The sequence below is a fragment of the Homo sapiens genome, chromosome 12 (genome assembly GCF_000001405.40).
Source record: "Homo sapiens chromosome 12, GRCh38.p14 Primary Assembly".
In the NCBI taxonomy this organism is placed as follows: domain Eukaryota; kingdom Metazoa; phylum Chordata; class Mammalia; order Primates; family Hominidae; genus Homo; species Homo sapiens.
In genome coordinates this window covers 56,399,073-56,413,089 of record NC_000012.12, presented here as the reverse complement: position 1 = coordinate 56,413,089, position 14,017 = coordinate 56,399,073, and the positions used below count along the sequence as shown (strand labels likewise).

General features: G+C 47.7%; 1 annotated feature.

Annotated features, from left to right (window-relative positions):
- Positions 11,221 to 11,753: an enhancer, noted in NCBI's record as "NANOG-H3K27ac hESC enhancer chr12:56795121-56795653 (GRCh37/hg19 assembly coordinates)". NCBI's record gives its function as "activates a minimal SCP1, AML or CMV promoter by ChIP-STARR-seq in primed H9 embryonic stem cells {active_cell/tissue: H9 hESC(primed)}" and the evidence as "EXISTENCE:reporter gene assay evidence [ECO:0000049][PMID:30033119]".

Here is a 14,017-nt window from a genome sequence, read left to right as displayed (position 1 = left end):
GTGAAGTACCACCTTTAAGCCAGGGACAGCCTGAAGCCTGGGTGCCGGACTGTCACTTCTGGGTGGAGTCCATCGCCCAGAATGAGAACTCATGATGCTTATTCTGGGCCATCCATGGCCCAATCAGCATGCACTTCCTCCCTTCTGAAGCCCATGAAAACCTTGGACTCAGCCACTCACAGAGACATTGAATCGACCTGCATGTGGAAAGGAGCTACTCACTGCCAGTCTCCTGAGGGCTGCTGTGTCGCTCAATGAAGCTCCTCTCTGCCCTGCCCTCCAGTTGTCTGTGTACCTCATTCTTCCTGGATATGGACAAGAACTCAGGACCCAAGGAATGGTGGAACTGAAAGAGCTGTAACACAAACAGGGCTGAAACACGCCTGCCGCCCCCCCCCGCCCGGCCCTGTCACTCCACTGCTTGCCACTATGTGGGCGACTAGAAGAAGAGAAGAGCTGTGGCTCTTTGAGAAGCCCAGACCCAGGGGCTCCCAGAGCCAGGGCTATGACACCCTCTTTGGGGCTCTGTGGTTCCTGGTGTCTCCAAGCTCCCAGGTGCCACCGCATTCCCTGGTGCCTGCAGTGGAAGCTGCTTGCAGTATGTCTGGTCCAGCCACAACCTCACATGGAGCCGGTGCCTGGAGCTCCCTGTCTGCTGCAGCCGGCATGCCTGGCTGTGCACAGTGTGGCCAGACCCCATGCTCACACACCCCTTGCTGCTGCACATCTGGTTCACCCATGGCAGGCATGGAATCCAGGCCAGTAGCACAAGCAGAGCACAGCCTGCCAGGCCAAGTGGGTGGAACAAACACAGTGAGCCCGAGCAACACTTGGGCAAAGGCACCACTGGCCACAGAGGTTTCCAGCTGGAAAAGTGACATCCCAAGAATCCCATGACACTACTATAAACTGGCACAGCTTTGTACTATGCTGCTCAGATAGAACTGGTCAGACAAGGCCAATGGGTCAGAGGTAGTTCTCTCTGCTAGAGGTGAGTCTCGCTGAAGAGCCATAGCTTAGAACCTGGGGCTGGGAGTTTTGTGCTATAAGAAAATTGGATAGGAATAGAAGGGATGAATTCTAATTTTTTGGCAAGCTGTATATGTGGTGTTCAGAATCCAAAATAAACATCACCTGATATCCACAGGATACACAATGATGAAAAATACAATGATTAAAAAACGTGCTGGCCAGATGTGGTGGCTCATGCCAATAATGCCAGTACTTTGAGGGGCTGAGGTGGGAGTATCCCTTTACCCCAGGAGTTTGAGACCAGCCTGGGCAACATAATGGGATCTTGTCTCCACAAAGAATTTCAAACATCAGCCAGACATGTTGGCTGAGGCAGGAGGATCTCTTGAGCCCTGGAGTTTGAGGTTACAGTGAGCTATGATTGTGTCACTGCACTCCAGCCTGAGCAATAGAGCAACACCCTGTCTCTTAACCAAAAAAAAAAAAAAAAAAAAAAAACAATTATTTTAAATGTGTTGAGGTTTCTTCTATGGCCCAGATATGGTATACCTTGGTGAGTGTTCTATAGGTACTTGAGAATGTGCATTCTGCTGTTGGAGTATTCTATAAATGTCAATTAGATGGGTTGATGATATTGTTAAGTTCTTCTATATTCTTGCTGACTTTGTACGTAGTAAGTCTATCAGTTGTTGAAAGAAGCGTGTTAAAGTCACCAACTATAATATTGGATTTATCTATTTTTTTCTTTTAGTTCTGTTATTATTATTTTTAAATAGAGACTGGGTTTCTCTTTGTCACCTAGGCTACAGTGTGGTGATGTGATCATAGCTCACTGCAGCCTCAAACTCCTGGGCTCAAGCTATCCTCCCATCTCAGCCTCCCAAGTAGCAGGACTACAGGCACCCATGCCTGGCTAATTTTTAATTTTTAAATTTTTGTTTATGTTTGTAGAGATGGGATCTCACCATCTTGCTCAGGCTAGTCTTGTACTCCTGGGCTCAAATGATCCTCCTGCCTTAGCCTCCCAAAGTGCTGGTGGTGGCAGAGGCTGCTGCCATCATGCCAACTGTGCAGCTGGGGCTGCAAACTCCATGGAGCCATTGGGAACCCTGTCCCTTCTGAGTTGGGATGGGAGCTCCTGGGGTGCCGCTGCAGCTGCCTAAACTGCAGCTGCAGATCCAGGCCTCCTGCTCTATGAAGCAGGCAGGACCCCCACCCTCCTGGGCTGGGCTACAGCCACCCAAACCGCAGCTGTAGACTGGAGCCTCTCTGTGCTGTTGTGGGAGGGCCAGGAGCAAGCAGGATCTACCTTCCCGGGTGCCGCTGCAGCTACCCTCCCAGGTGCAGGAGCCAGGTGTCTCTTCAGCTTGCACCCTTAGGGGCCCCAGGAAGGACCCTCCCTCATCCTTGCAGGCTCAGGGGTGTCTGCCTGCCCTCTCTCCACTACTGGTGCCCGCTCCAATCTTGGAGCAGGGGTTGGGGCCAAGCCTGGGGGCCATGAATGGCAGCAGGAGAGAGATTGATTCCTGGGCAGAAGGGGGTGGGTCCCCAGTAAGGCCCCCACCTTTGGGCCAGGGAAGACCTGAAGGCTGGGAGCTGGGCTGCCAGTCCCATGGACCAGAGTGGGGACTTGTGATTCCTCTTCCAGGCCTGCTCATGGGCCAATTGGCACACACTTTCTCCCCTCTGAGGTCCATGGGTTCAGCCAGAGCAGGGCACAGGATGGCCAGAGGATAAAGAAGGCAGAGATACCATGGGCCACCCTCTCCAGGGCCTTGTCTCTGCTGAGAGCTGAACACTCCACAGGATGAGCTGTCTACGAAGAGGAGCTACCCACTGTGGGTCTCCTCTGAACTGTTCTTTTTTTTTTTTTTTGACAGTCTCTGTTGCCCAGGCTGCAGTGCAGTAGTGTGATCTCAGCTCCCTGCAACCTCTGCCTCCCAGGTTCAAGCAATTCTCATGCCTCGGCCACCCTAGTAGCTGGGATTACAGGCGTGCGCCACCACTCCCAGCTAATTTTTGTATTATTAGTAGAGTCAGGGTTTCACCATGTTGGCCAGGCTGGTCTCGAACGCCTGACCTCACGTGATCCACCTGCCTCAGCCTCCCAAAGTGCTGGGGTTACAGGCATGAGCCACTGTGCCCGGCCTTCTCTGTGCTGTTCTAACACTAAATACAGCTCTTCATCTTCTTCACCCTTCATTTGTCTGCGCCCCTTGTTTTTCCTGGATTAAGGACAAGAACTCAGGCACCACGGCCACAGAGGTTTGTAGCCAGAAAACATTTACACCCCAGAGATCCCATAATATTTTGGAGGCTTGTCCGGGATTTGCAGAAGGGTGAGTAAAAGCAATTCTGTCCATTTTTTTCAGAGTCTCTAAACTCCACAATAGTAAAAATGAAGGAAAAATACCAGGCCTCTGTCAGCCAGTTAAAAGTAACTAGCACAGCTGCCAGACTTAAGACATGGAGGACAGGCTTGCCGGGGAGGACACTGTCAACCCCCCATCACCCTCGAGTATTGGGAATGTTGGCTTTGTTCCAACCCAGTTTCCCCTCATTGAGGTCTAGCTGTCGCATGGGACTGGAAGGAGGTCCTAGGGTAACAGGGTATCTGGCCGAGGCCATACCTTGGTGTTATCCAAAGGCCCTTGGACTAACTCCAGTCCCCGACTGCCCATTGGGGTGTTGACACTAGGACCTCCAATCTTTTTTATTGTTATTTGTTTATTTCTTGCTTGCTTTCTAGGCTGTCATGGTTCCTATCTCTTTTATATACAATGTTAAATTGTAACACCTGCCCCCACAGCTTCACCTGCCTGTGATAGGGCGGCAACATCCTTAAATGTTAAGGATGTTGTTGCAAACCAGAGAGATTTCTGGATAAAATGAGCATTTGGCTTAGTCATCAAGTATAAAATAGAAGGTTAAGGGTACCACAAAGCAAAGTGTGCCGTCATATCTGTATGTAAATTTGTGGTGAAAATGTTCTTGTAATTTACTTGATTGCCAATTTAGGGCCAAGCACCTTGAGGCACAGAAAAGAAGCATTGCCTCAGGAAAAAAGCTTTTCTGTAAACACGAAGGCAAATAGTCCAAGGTCCTTTATGTGCAGGCCTTTGCCTTGCAGGGTGCCCCAGACCTTTGCCAACATTGTAGAATTGATTCAGCCCTCCTAGGGGCCATCTCAGGAGAGGCTGCAAGGGGCAATCCCAGGGAACTGGAGAAGCAAATCCCAGAGTTACCTCCAGCGGGGGAATCAACTCCCTCCGCACCTCCCTATCCAGGTGCTTTTCCAAGCTTGCCTCATCCTAGAAATAATTTTAGACTGTTCCCAGTCTCACTCCTGCCCCTGCAACAGATGCCTGGTGCATATGGCCCCATTAAGGTCCAGGTCTCCTTTTCTCTTCAGGACTTAAGGCAAATTAAGGGGGATCTTGGCAGGTTTTGAGATGGCCCTGAAAAATATAAAAAGGATTTCCAGGCCGGGCGCGGTGGCTCACGCCTGTAATCCCAGCACTTTGGGAGGCCGAGGCGGGCGGATCACAAGGTCAGGAGATCGAGACCATCCTGGCTAACACGGTGAAACCCCGTCTCTACTAAAAATACAAAAAATTAGCCAGGTGTGGTGGCGGGCGCCTGTAGTCCCAGCTACTCGGGAGGCTGAGGCAGGAGAATGGCGTGAACCCGGGAGGCAGAGCTTGCAGTGAGCCGAGATCGCGCCACTGTACTCCAGCCTGGGTGACAGAGCGAGACTCCGTCTCAAACAAAAAAAAAAAAAGAAACGGATTTCCAGAACTTAACCCAAGTATTTTAGCTCTCCTGGAAGGATGGCCATGTTACTTTTGAATCAAACCCTGAACACTGCTGAAAAGCAGGCCACTCTCGTCAAGTGGCAGAGAATTTTGGGGATGAGCTTTACATCTTGTATAGGGCCAGGGAACAGGAAGAGCCTTTTCCAGTTGGAAGAATACCAGTGCCATTAGAGGACCCTAAATGGGACCCCAGTAATGAAATGGGACAATGGAAGAAGAAATTCTTTCAGGTGTGCATATTGGAGGGCTTGTGAGGGACTGGAACTGAGCCTCTGAATTGCACTGGGCTATCTGTGGTACATCAGGGATTGGATGGGAGTCCCACTGATGTCCTGGAAAGGCTAAGAGGGGTCTTGGTAAAACACACCCCTCTATCTCCTGATTCAATAGAGGGACACCTGGTCATAGGGAATGAGTTTACTACTCAGTCAGCCCCTGATATCAAGAGGAAGCTGCAGAAGCAGGCCATAGGACCAGGTAGTATTTTAGAGGACCTCCTGAAAGCGGCCACCTCGGTCTTTTACTATAGGGATCAGGAGGCCCAAGAGAAGGAAAGGAAACACAAGAAAAAGGCAGAGGCTCTAATAGCCAGCTTGCAGGCTCACAAACCACAGAGCTCCTAAGTTGTACCTGTTGACTGCTACAAATATGGACCATTGGAGGGAGGACTGTTCCCAAGACACCAGTCCCCAGGTACAGGGCTGGTCTCCCAAATGATGCAGCAGAACTGATGGGTCCCGGGGTTCCTTTCCCTGGCTTTGGTAATTTAGACCACCATTACCATCCAGGAGCCCTGGGTGATTCTGGGGATCAAGGGAAGGAGAATGGACTTCCTCCTGGACTCAAGCGGTCCTTTCAGTTCTCCTCTCCAATCTAGGCACCCCCCTCTCTTAGCATGACTGTGAGGTACATCTCAGGAAAAGCCCAACATTTTAGTTGTCACCTTGGGCCAGGTCCCCTATTCCCGAGACTCCCTTTCTCTCCCTTATTTGAGGAGGACCTTCCCCCACAGCTTCACCTGCTTGTGATAGGGAAGCAACAGAGGAGTGCCCCCTGCCAGCTGCTAGCTGCAATTTGGCAAGGGCCATCTGGGACTAATTTAAAGGGTTCATACACTCCTGAGGCATCTTCTTGTCCCAGGCTTTGGTTTGAATCCCTTGAATGGAACACTAGACCTGAGGCAGATGACAGCAGGAGTCAGGGCACAGCACAGGTGAGCATGGCTAATTCCTGCTGATTAGTCCCCCCCACTTCATGGGTGGAGTGCATCCTACATCACTGGACTCCTTTGACCCTCAGACTCTGGAGAAAGAAAAAAGCTTTTTCCCCTTCACAGGACTTCAGGGCCAATAGGGCTCCATGGCTTGGGGGAAGGGAACCCAGAAGCCTGACATGCCAGTAAAAGGGTAAAAGTTGTGGGACTTCTGGCTTCTCTCTCTCCATGCAAACTGGTTGCAGGAATGATATAAATCACTGTATTCTCTACTCCATGGTTCAGTTGGCCTTTTTGGCATGGCTAAGGTTGGGTAGTAAGATATTTAAAAGGGGCCGGGTGCAGTGGCTCACGCCTGTAATCCCAGCACTTTGGGAGGCCAAGGTGGGTGGATCACTTGAGGTCAGGAGTTCAAGACCAGGCTGGCCAACATGGTGAAACTCTGTCTCTACTAAATATACAAAAATTAGCTGTGTGTGGTGGCATGCACCTGTAGTCCCAGCTATCTGGGAGGCTGAGGTATGAGAAACGCTTGAACACAGGAGGCAGAGGTTGCAGTGAGCCCAGATTGCACCACTGCACCCCAGCCTGGGCGACAGAGTGAGACTCTGCCTTAAAAAAGAAAAAAAGATTTAAAAGGACTTCTTTAAAAGGAGCACTATGGTTAAAAGTTAGCTTAACTAAAAGTAGATGTTCATAGATATCCAAGCTTTAGGTATACTTAAAAGGCCTTTATGTCATTTCTCTGTTTTTCTGGTGAAGGGTCTTTTCTTCTCAGTCGACTGAATTATCTTTCTCCATTCTTGTCTTGCCACTCTTGATGCGCACATGAGGAGCCCCAAGATATCCTCTGATGGCCTGGGACTCCTTGGGAAAATGAAAGAGGTGCCACTGACCCATTTTGGGAAAGACTTCTGTTTTCCTCATGGAGCCCCAGGAATTAGGAGCAGATGGATCCCTCTCAAAATGTTTTTGTCTTCCAGTTATGCATACTTATTAGGCCATAGAAACTACATGTTTTCCTGGCCCTGCTTCTTAAAGGGCTTAACCCCAGGGCCAGCAATGCAATTAGGAGATTGGCACATGAAAAATCTTAAAACTACTGGATCTCTGTCTGTTTCTGTGTGGATATATATGTGTCAGGTGTGTCATGTTTATATAAAAGAGCTCTAACTGATTGGCTTAAAGGAAAATAAGTGTTTAAATCAAATATTTCGAAAGAAAAATAAAGCTGTAATGCCTTTTAGTTCATGGCTATCACTCTAGTGGAACAGGAAGCATGAGAAAGTATGGCCTTACACAGCTCATAGTAGGCCGTTGCCTCTGGAGGGAAAACGTAAAGTGGCACTGGTGCCCACCTAAGGTCAGAGTAAGACTGGATCCCAAAGGGGGATGCTCCAGGGGATCCTCTGGACTTCCACCTCTCCAAAGAGGATGCTTTTGGCAGAGGTTCTGAGGTCTACTAATAAGCCCTCCTTAGAACTTTTTCGCAGTTGCAATACTGTTTGGCCCCAGTATTGCATGGAATCTGGAGTTACTGCTGAAAGGGAAAGTGGGATGCCATTGCCTGTATCCAGGCTTTTATGCTGTTGTTCTAAGCAGGGGGCCTGGTTAGCCTGTGATGCTCTCCTTTGGTGCTGTTTGACCCCAGTGTTCTTTGAAGTCTGGGGGAGTTTGGCCTTTAAATATCAAACTGCCATGGAAACTGCTTTACCGGAAATTTTGTTTCACAGTTGTATTAGGGATATATATATACAGCATTTAGGTATTGTTAACTATGCAATAATATTGGGGTTGGTGATTGGTGCATTTCTGGTTGTGGGAAGGATAGTTGTATTATGTTAGGCACAATTATTACCTTATTATTGTCTTTATTCGAAAATTATATATGATCTCAGGAGATGTGTACATATATATGTACATATATGTGTGTATATATATGTGTATATATATATATATGCGTTTACTAATTATTAACTTATATGATCACAAGGTCCCATGATAGGCTGTCTGCAAGCTTGAGGAGCAAGGAGAGCCAGTCCGAGTCTCAAAACTGAAGAACTTGGAGTCCGACGTTTGAGGGCAGGAAGCATCCAGCACAGGAGAAAGATGTAGGCTGGGAGGCTGGGTCCATCTCACGTTTTCACATTTTTCTGCCTGCTTTATATTCACTGACAGCTGATTAGATTGTGCCCACCAAATTAAAGGTGGGTCTGCCTTCCCCAGCCCACTGACTCAAATGTTAATCTTCTTTGTCAACATCCTTGCAGACACACCCAGGATCAATGCTTTGCATCCTTCAATCCAATCAAGTTGACACTCAGTATTAACCATCACAAGTCCACCGCTTGTCAACTTGAACCCATACACATCTCCTAAGATCATACATAATCTTCGAATAAAGCCAATAATAAGGTCATAATTGTGCCTAACATAATACAACTATCCTTCACATAACCAGAAATGCACCAAACCCCAACCCCAATATTATTACGTAAAGTTAACAATACCTAAATGCTGATAGGACAACAATAAATTTTATGTCACATGATAAAGGAAAAGGAAATAAAATGAAGATATTTTCTTAGTACAAGTGTTTACATGCATAAGCGTGTTTTTAACAAAAGGAGAAAATACTCATGACAATTACAGTCCTTGTTTCTGCAACTGGTCACGTGGTCATAGCTGGTATTGATGACTACCTTCTTCTACTACCCATTCTGTATTCCCTTTGCCTTCAGCAAGCACCTCAGCAGGTCATGGTTTTTTTCCTGGTGGAATGACCCAAACCTTTATTCCTGAGGGGTCTGGACTGTTTGTCATCTGCCTGGATTGGGGTATTGTAGTTTCCCATTGACTTTAATCATGGGGCATGGTAATACTAAGAGGTGCCCTAATGGATCTCCTATATTCCATGCATACTCTTTCTTATCTATGTTGTGGAGTAGTAGACTGATTTCATCTTGATAGTGCGGGTCAATCACCGCAGCCAACACTGTAATTCCCTTCTTAGCCTGTTGACTTAAAGGTAGGAGGAGCCCAAAGTGTCCAGTTGACAATCTTAACTTCCAATTTAATGGAATCATTGTGTCTACTGGTGGCAGCATTCCTCCCTCTGGAACTAAGACATGTAGCCAGCAGAACTTAATGTTGCAGGAACAGGAAGCAAAAATTTTGCTAGTGGGTCACTGGGGGTGATGGTGAGTGGTGCCACTTCCACTTCCACCCCCTTGATTCCTGAACCTGTGAATCCTGGCTATGGGAGAAACTAACATATATTGGATGCTGATTCAGAGCGTACATGGCCTTCTGGACAACTTTGCCCCAGCCCTGCAGAATATCGTCACCTAGTTGGTGTTGTAATTATGACTTAAAAAGGCCATTCCTCCATTCTGTCAATCCAGCTGCTTCAGGATGATGGGGAACATGGTAAGACCCATGAATTCCATGAGCATGAGCCCACTGCTGCACTTCTTTAGCTGTAAAGTGAGTGCCTTGGTCAGAGGCAATGCTGTGTGGAATACCATAATGATGGATAAGGCATTCCGTGAGTCCACGGGTGGTAGTCTTGGCAGAAGCATTGCGTGGAGGATGGGTAAACCCATATGCGGAGTAAGTGTCTATTCCAGTGAGGACAAACCTGTGCCCTTTCCATGATGGAAGAGGTCCAATATAATCAACCTGCCACCAGGTAGCTGATCACCCTGAGGAATGGTGTCATATCAAGGGCTCAGTGTTGGTCTCTGCTGCTGGCAAATTGGGCACTCAGCAGTGATCGAACGCAGGTCAGCCTTAATGAGTGGATGTCCATGTTGCTGAGCCCATGTGTAACCTCCATCCCTGCAACCATGGCCAGTTTGTTTATGGACCCATTGGGCAATGACAGGGGTGGCTGGGGAAAGAGGCTGAGTGGTGTCCACAGAACAGGTCATCCTATCCACTTGGTTATTAAAATCCTCCTCTGCTGAGGTCACCCTTTGGTGAACACTCACATGGGATACAAATATCTTCAGTTTTGACCACTCAGAGAGGTCCATCCACATACCTCTTCCAAGTCCCTGACCATCCAGCCAAACCATTGGCTAACAGCCGATGAATCAGTATATAATCGCACATCTAGCCATTTCTCCTGCCATGCAAAGTGCACAACCAGATGCACTGCTCAAAGTTTTGCCCGCTGGGAAGATTCCCCTTCACCGCTGTCCTTCAGGGATGTCCTAGAAAGGGGCTGTAGTACTGCAGCTGTCCACTTTCGGATGGTGCCTGCATACCATGCAGAACCATCTGTGAACCAGGCCGTAGTCTTCTCTTTCTCTGTCAGCTGATCATAGGGCACTCCCTGTGAGGCCATCAGTGCAGGCTGGGAAAGAAAAGGCAGGGTGGCAAGAGTGGAGACCATGGGCATTTGAGCCACTTCCCCATGTAACTTACTTGTGCCTTCAGGACCTGCTCTAGCCCGATCACATATATGCAACTTCCATTTGATGACAGAATGCTTCTGTGCAAGACCCACTTTATGGCTAGATGGATCAGAAAGCACCCAGTTCATGATAGGCAGTTCAGGTCGCCTGGTGACTTGATGACCTATAGTCAAACGTTCAGTTTCCATCAAAGCCCAGTAACAGGTCAAGAGCTGTCTCTCAAAAGGAAAGTAGTTATCGCCAGAAGATGGCAGGGCCTTGCTCCAAAATCCTAGAGGCCTCCACTGTGATTCACCTATGGGGGCCTTCCAAAGGCTCCAAACAGCATCTCTATCTGTGACTGACAGCTCAAGCACCATTGGATCTGCCGGGTCATATGGCCCAAGTGGCAGAGCAGCTTGCACAGCAGTCTGGACCTGTTGCAGAGCCTTCTCCTTTTCTGGACCCCACTCAAAACTGGCAGCCTTTTGAGCCACTTGATAAATGGGCCTGAGTAACACACCCAAATGAGGAATATGTTGCCTCCAAAATCCAAATAAGCCCACTTGGTGTTGTGCCTCTTTCTTGGTTGTAGGAGGGGCCAAATGCAGCAATTTATCCTTCACCTTAGAGGGAATAACCCCTGAATTTTAGTCAGACTTATTTCCCATCCTCTAGCACACAAATGTCTCACCAATAAGTCCAGTGTGTTTGCTACTTCTTGCTCACTGGATCCAATCAGCATAATGTCATCAATGTAATGGACCAGTGTGATATCTTGCAGAAGTGAAAAGTGATCAAGGTCTCTCAATAAGATTATGACACAAAGCTGGAGAGTTGATATACCCCTAAGGTAGGACAGTAAAGGTATATTGCTGGCCTTGCCAGCTGAAGGCAAAGTGCTTCTGGTAGGCCTTATGGACAAGAATGGAGAAAAAGGCATTTGCCAAGTCAATGGCTGCATACCAGGCACCAGGAGATATGTTAATTTGCTCAAGCAATGAAACCACATCTGGTACAGCAGCTGCAATTGGAGTCACCACTTGGTTAAGCTTACAATACTCCACTGTCATTCTCCAAGATCCATCCGTCTTCTGCACAGGCCAGATGGGAGAGTCGAACAGGGATGTGGTGGGAATCATCACCGCTGTGTCTTTCAAGTCCTTGATGGTGGTACTAATCTCTGCTATTCCTCCGGGATGTGATACTGTTTTTGATTTATGATTTTTCTAGGTAGAGGCAGCTCTAATGGCTTCCATTTGGCCTTTCCCACCATAATAGCCCTCACCCTACCAGTCAGGGAGCCAATGTGGGGGTTCTGCCAGCTGCTATGTATGTCTGTGCCAATTATGGATTCTGGCACATGTGGGGAAAAGCAAGAGAGATCAGATTGTTACTGTGTCTGTGTAGAAAGTAGACATAGGAGACTCCATTTTGTTATGTACTAAGAAAAATTCTTCTGCCTTGAGATTCTGTTAATCTATAACCTTACCCCCAACCCCGTGCTCTCTGAAACATGTGCTGTGTCAACTCAGAGTTGAATGGATTAAGGGCGGTGCAAGATGTGCTTTGTTAAACAGATGCTTGAAGGCAGCATGCTCCTTAAGAGTCATCACCACTCCCTAATCTCAAGTACCCAGGGACACAAAAACTGCGGAAGGCCGCAGGGACCTCTGCCTAGGAAAGCCAGGTATTGTCCAAGGTTTCTCCCCATGTGATAGTCTGAAATATGGCCTCGTGGGAAGGGAAAGACCTGACCGTCCCCCAGCCCGACACCCGTAAAGGGTCTGTGCTGAGGAGGATTAGTAAAAGAGGAAGGAATGCCTCTTGCAGTTGAGACAAGAGGAAGGCATCTGTCTCCTGCCCGTCCCTGGGCAATGGAATGTCTCGGTATAAAACCCGATTGTATGCTCCATCTACTGAGATAGGGAAAAACTGCCTTAGGGCTGGAGGTGGGACCTGCGGGCAGCAATACTGCTTTGTAAAGCATTGAGATGTTTATGTGTATGCATATCTAAAAGCACAGCACTTAATCCTTTACATTGTCTATGATGCCAAGACCTTTGTTCACGTGTTTGTCTGCTGACCCTCTCCCCACAATTGTCTTGTGACCCTGACACATCCCCCTCTTCGAGAAACACCCACAAATGATGAATAAATACTAAGGGAACTCAGAGGCTGGCAGGATCCTCCATATGCTGAACGCTGGTTCCCCGGGTCCCCTTATTTCTTTCTCTATACTTTGTCTCTGTGTCTTTTTCTTTTCCAAATCTCTCGTCCCACCTTACGAGAAACACCCACAGGTGTGTAGGGGCAACCCACCCCAACAGGCACCAGAATCCATTTCCCTGGCACCAGGGAAATGACCACAGGATGAGTTCGGGGACTCACTGGACCCACTGTAAGTCAGACCTGAGCTAAAACTCCATTAATTACCTGACCTCCATAAGTCTCTACTTTAACTGGAGGACCATAATGACGTTTTGGGTCCCCTGGAATCAACATCAACTCAGAGCCAGCGTCCAGTAGTCCCCAAAATGTCTGATCATTTCCCTTTCGCCAATGCAGTTACCCTGGTAAAAGGCCGGAGATCTCCTTGGGGAAGGATGGGAGAAAGATTTACTGCATAAATTGTTGGTAATGTAGTGCAGTCCTTCCTCAAGGGGACCTGGTCTCCCCTTCGTTCAAGGGGTTCTGGGTCTGTAAACTGCTTCAAATCTAGAAATTGATTGAGGGGCCATGACTCTCTGTTTTTATCATTCAAATTAGTCTTTTGTCCATTCAACCTAGAAGTTTTCTCCTTATATAAATTAAGTAGGAATGCAGTAGGCTTCCTATCAATTTCACTTCTAGGAACACTGTGATTAATTAGCCAATGCCAGAGCTCTACACAAGTCAGACTATTCTGATTGCTGCTTTGTCTCTGCTGTCCATTATGGTAGCTGTGCCCACCTTGCCTTTGACAGTCGAATGCCACCGCTTGGCCACTGCCACCTTGTGATCCAATTATTCTCATTGTATTTAAATTTTGTAGTTGAGTGACTGTGGTTCCCACCGTTAGATCTGACATACACAGAAGAGCAATTACAGGGCTCTTCAAAGATTCAGGTGCTGCCCTCACAAATCTATTTTGCAAGGCATTGGTAAAGGGTATATCTTCTGGACCCTCCCAGCTGAGATGAGTAGGTCTAATGTGACTAATCCACTCCACCATCCCAGTCTCCCTAAGCCTTTGGATCCCTTCGTCTACATTAAACCAAGGGAGATCAGGCATTTCCAGCTTGCTCACAGTTGGCCATCTTTTAATCCATATTTCAGCTAACTAAGCAAATAAACTATTAGAACCTTTTTTAACTCCCCAACCTGCAACATTAAATGCAGAGTCCCTACTTAGTGGGCCCAAATCAATAAATTCAACCTGATCCAACTCTGTGTTCCTTCCACCATTATCCCACACCCTTAATATCTATTCCCATGCCTGTTCTCCAGATCTCTGTTTATACAAATTAAAGAACTCAAGCAGTTCTTTTTGAGTGTAGTGCACCTCCTTATGGGTCACACTCTCAACTTCACTTCTAGGGGCCTGCTGGGACTTTAGTTATAGGTCTAGAAGAAGC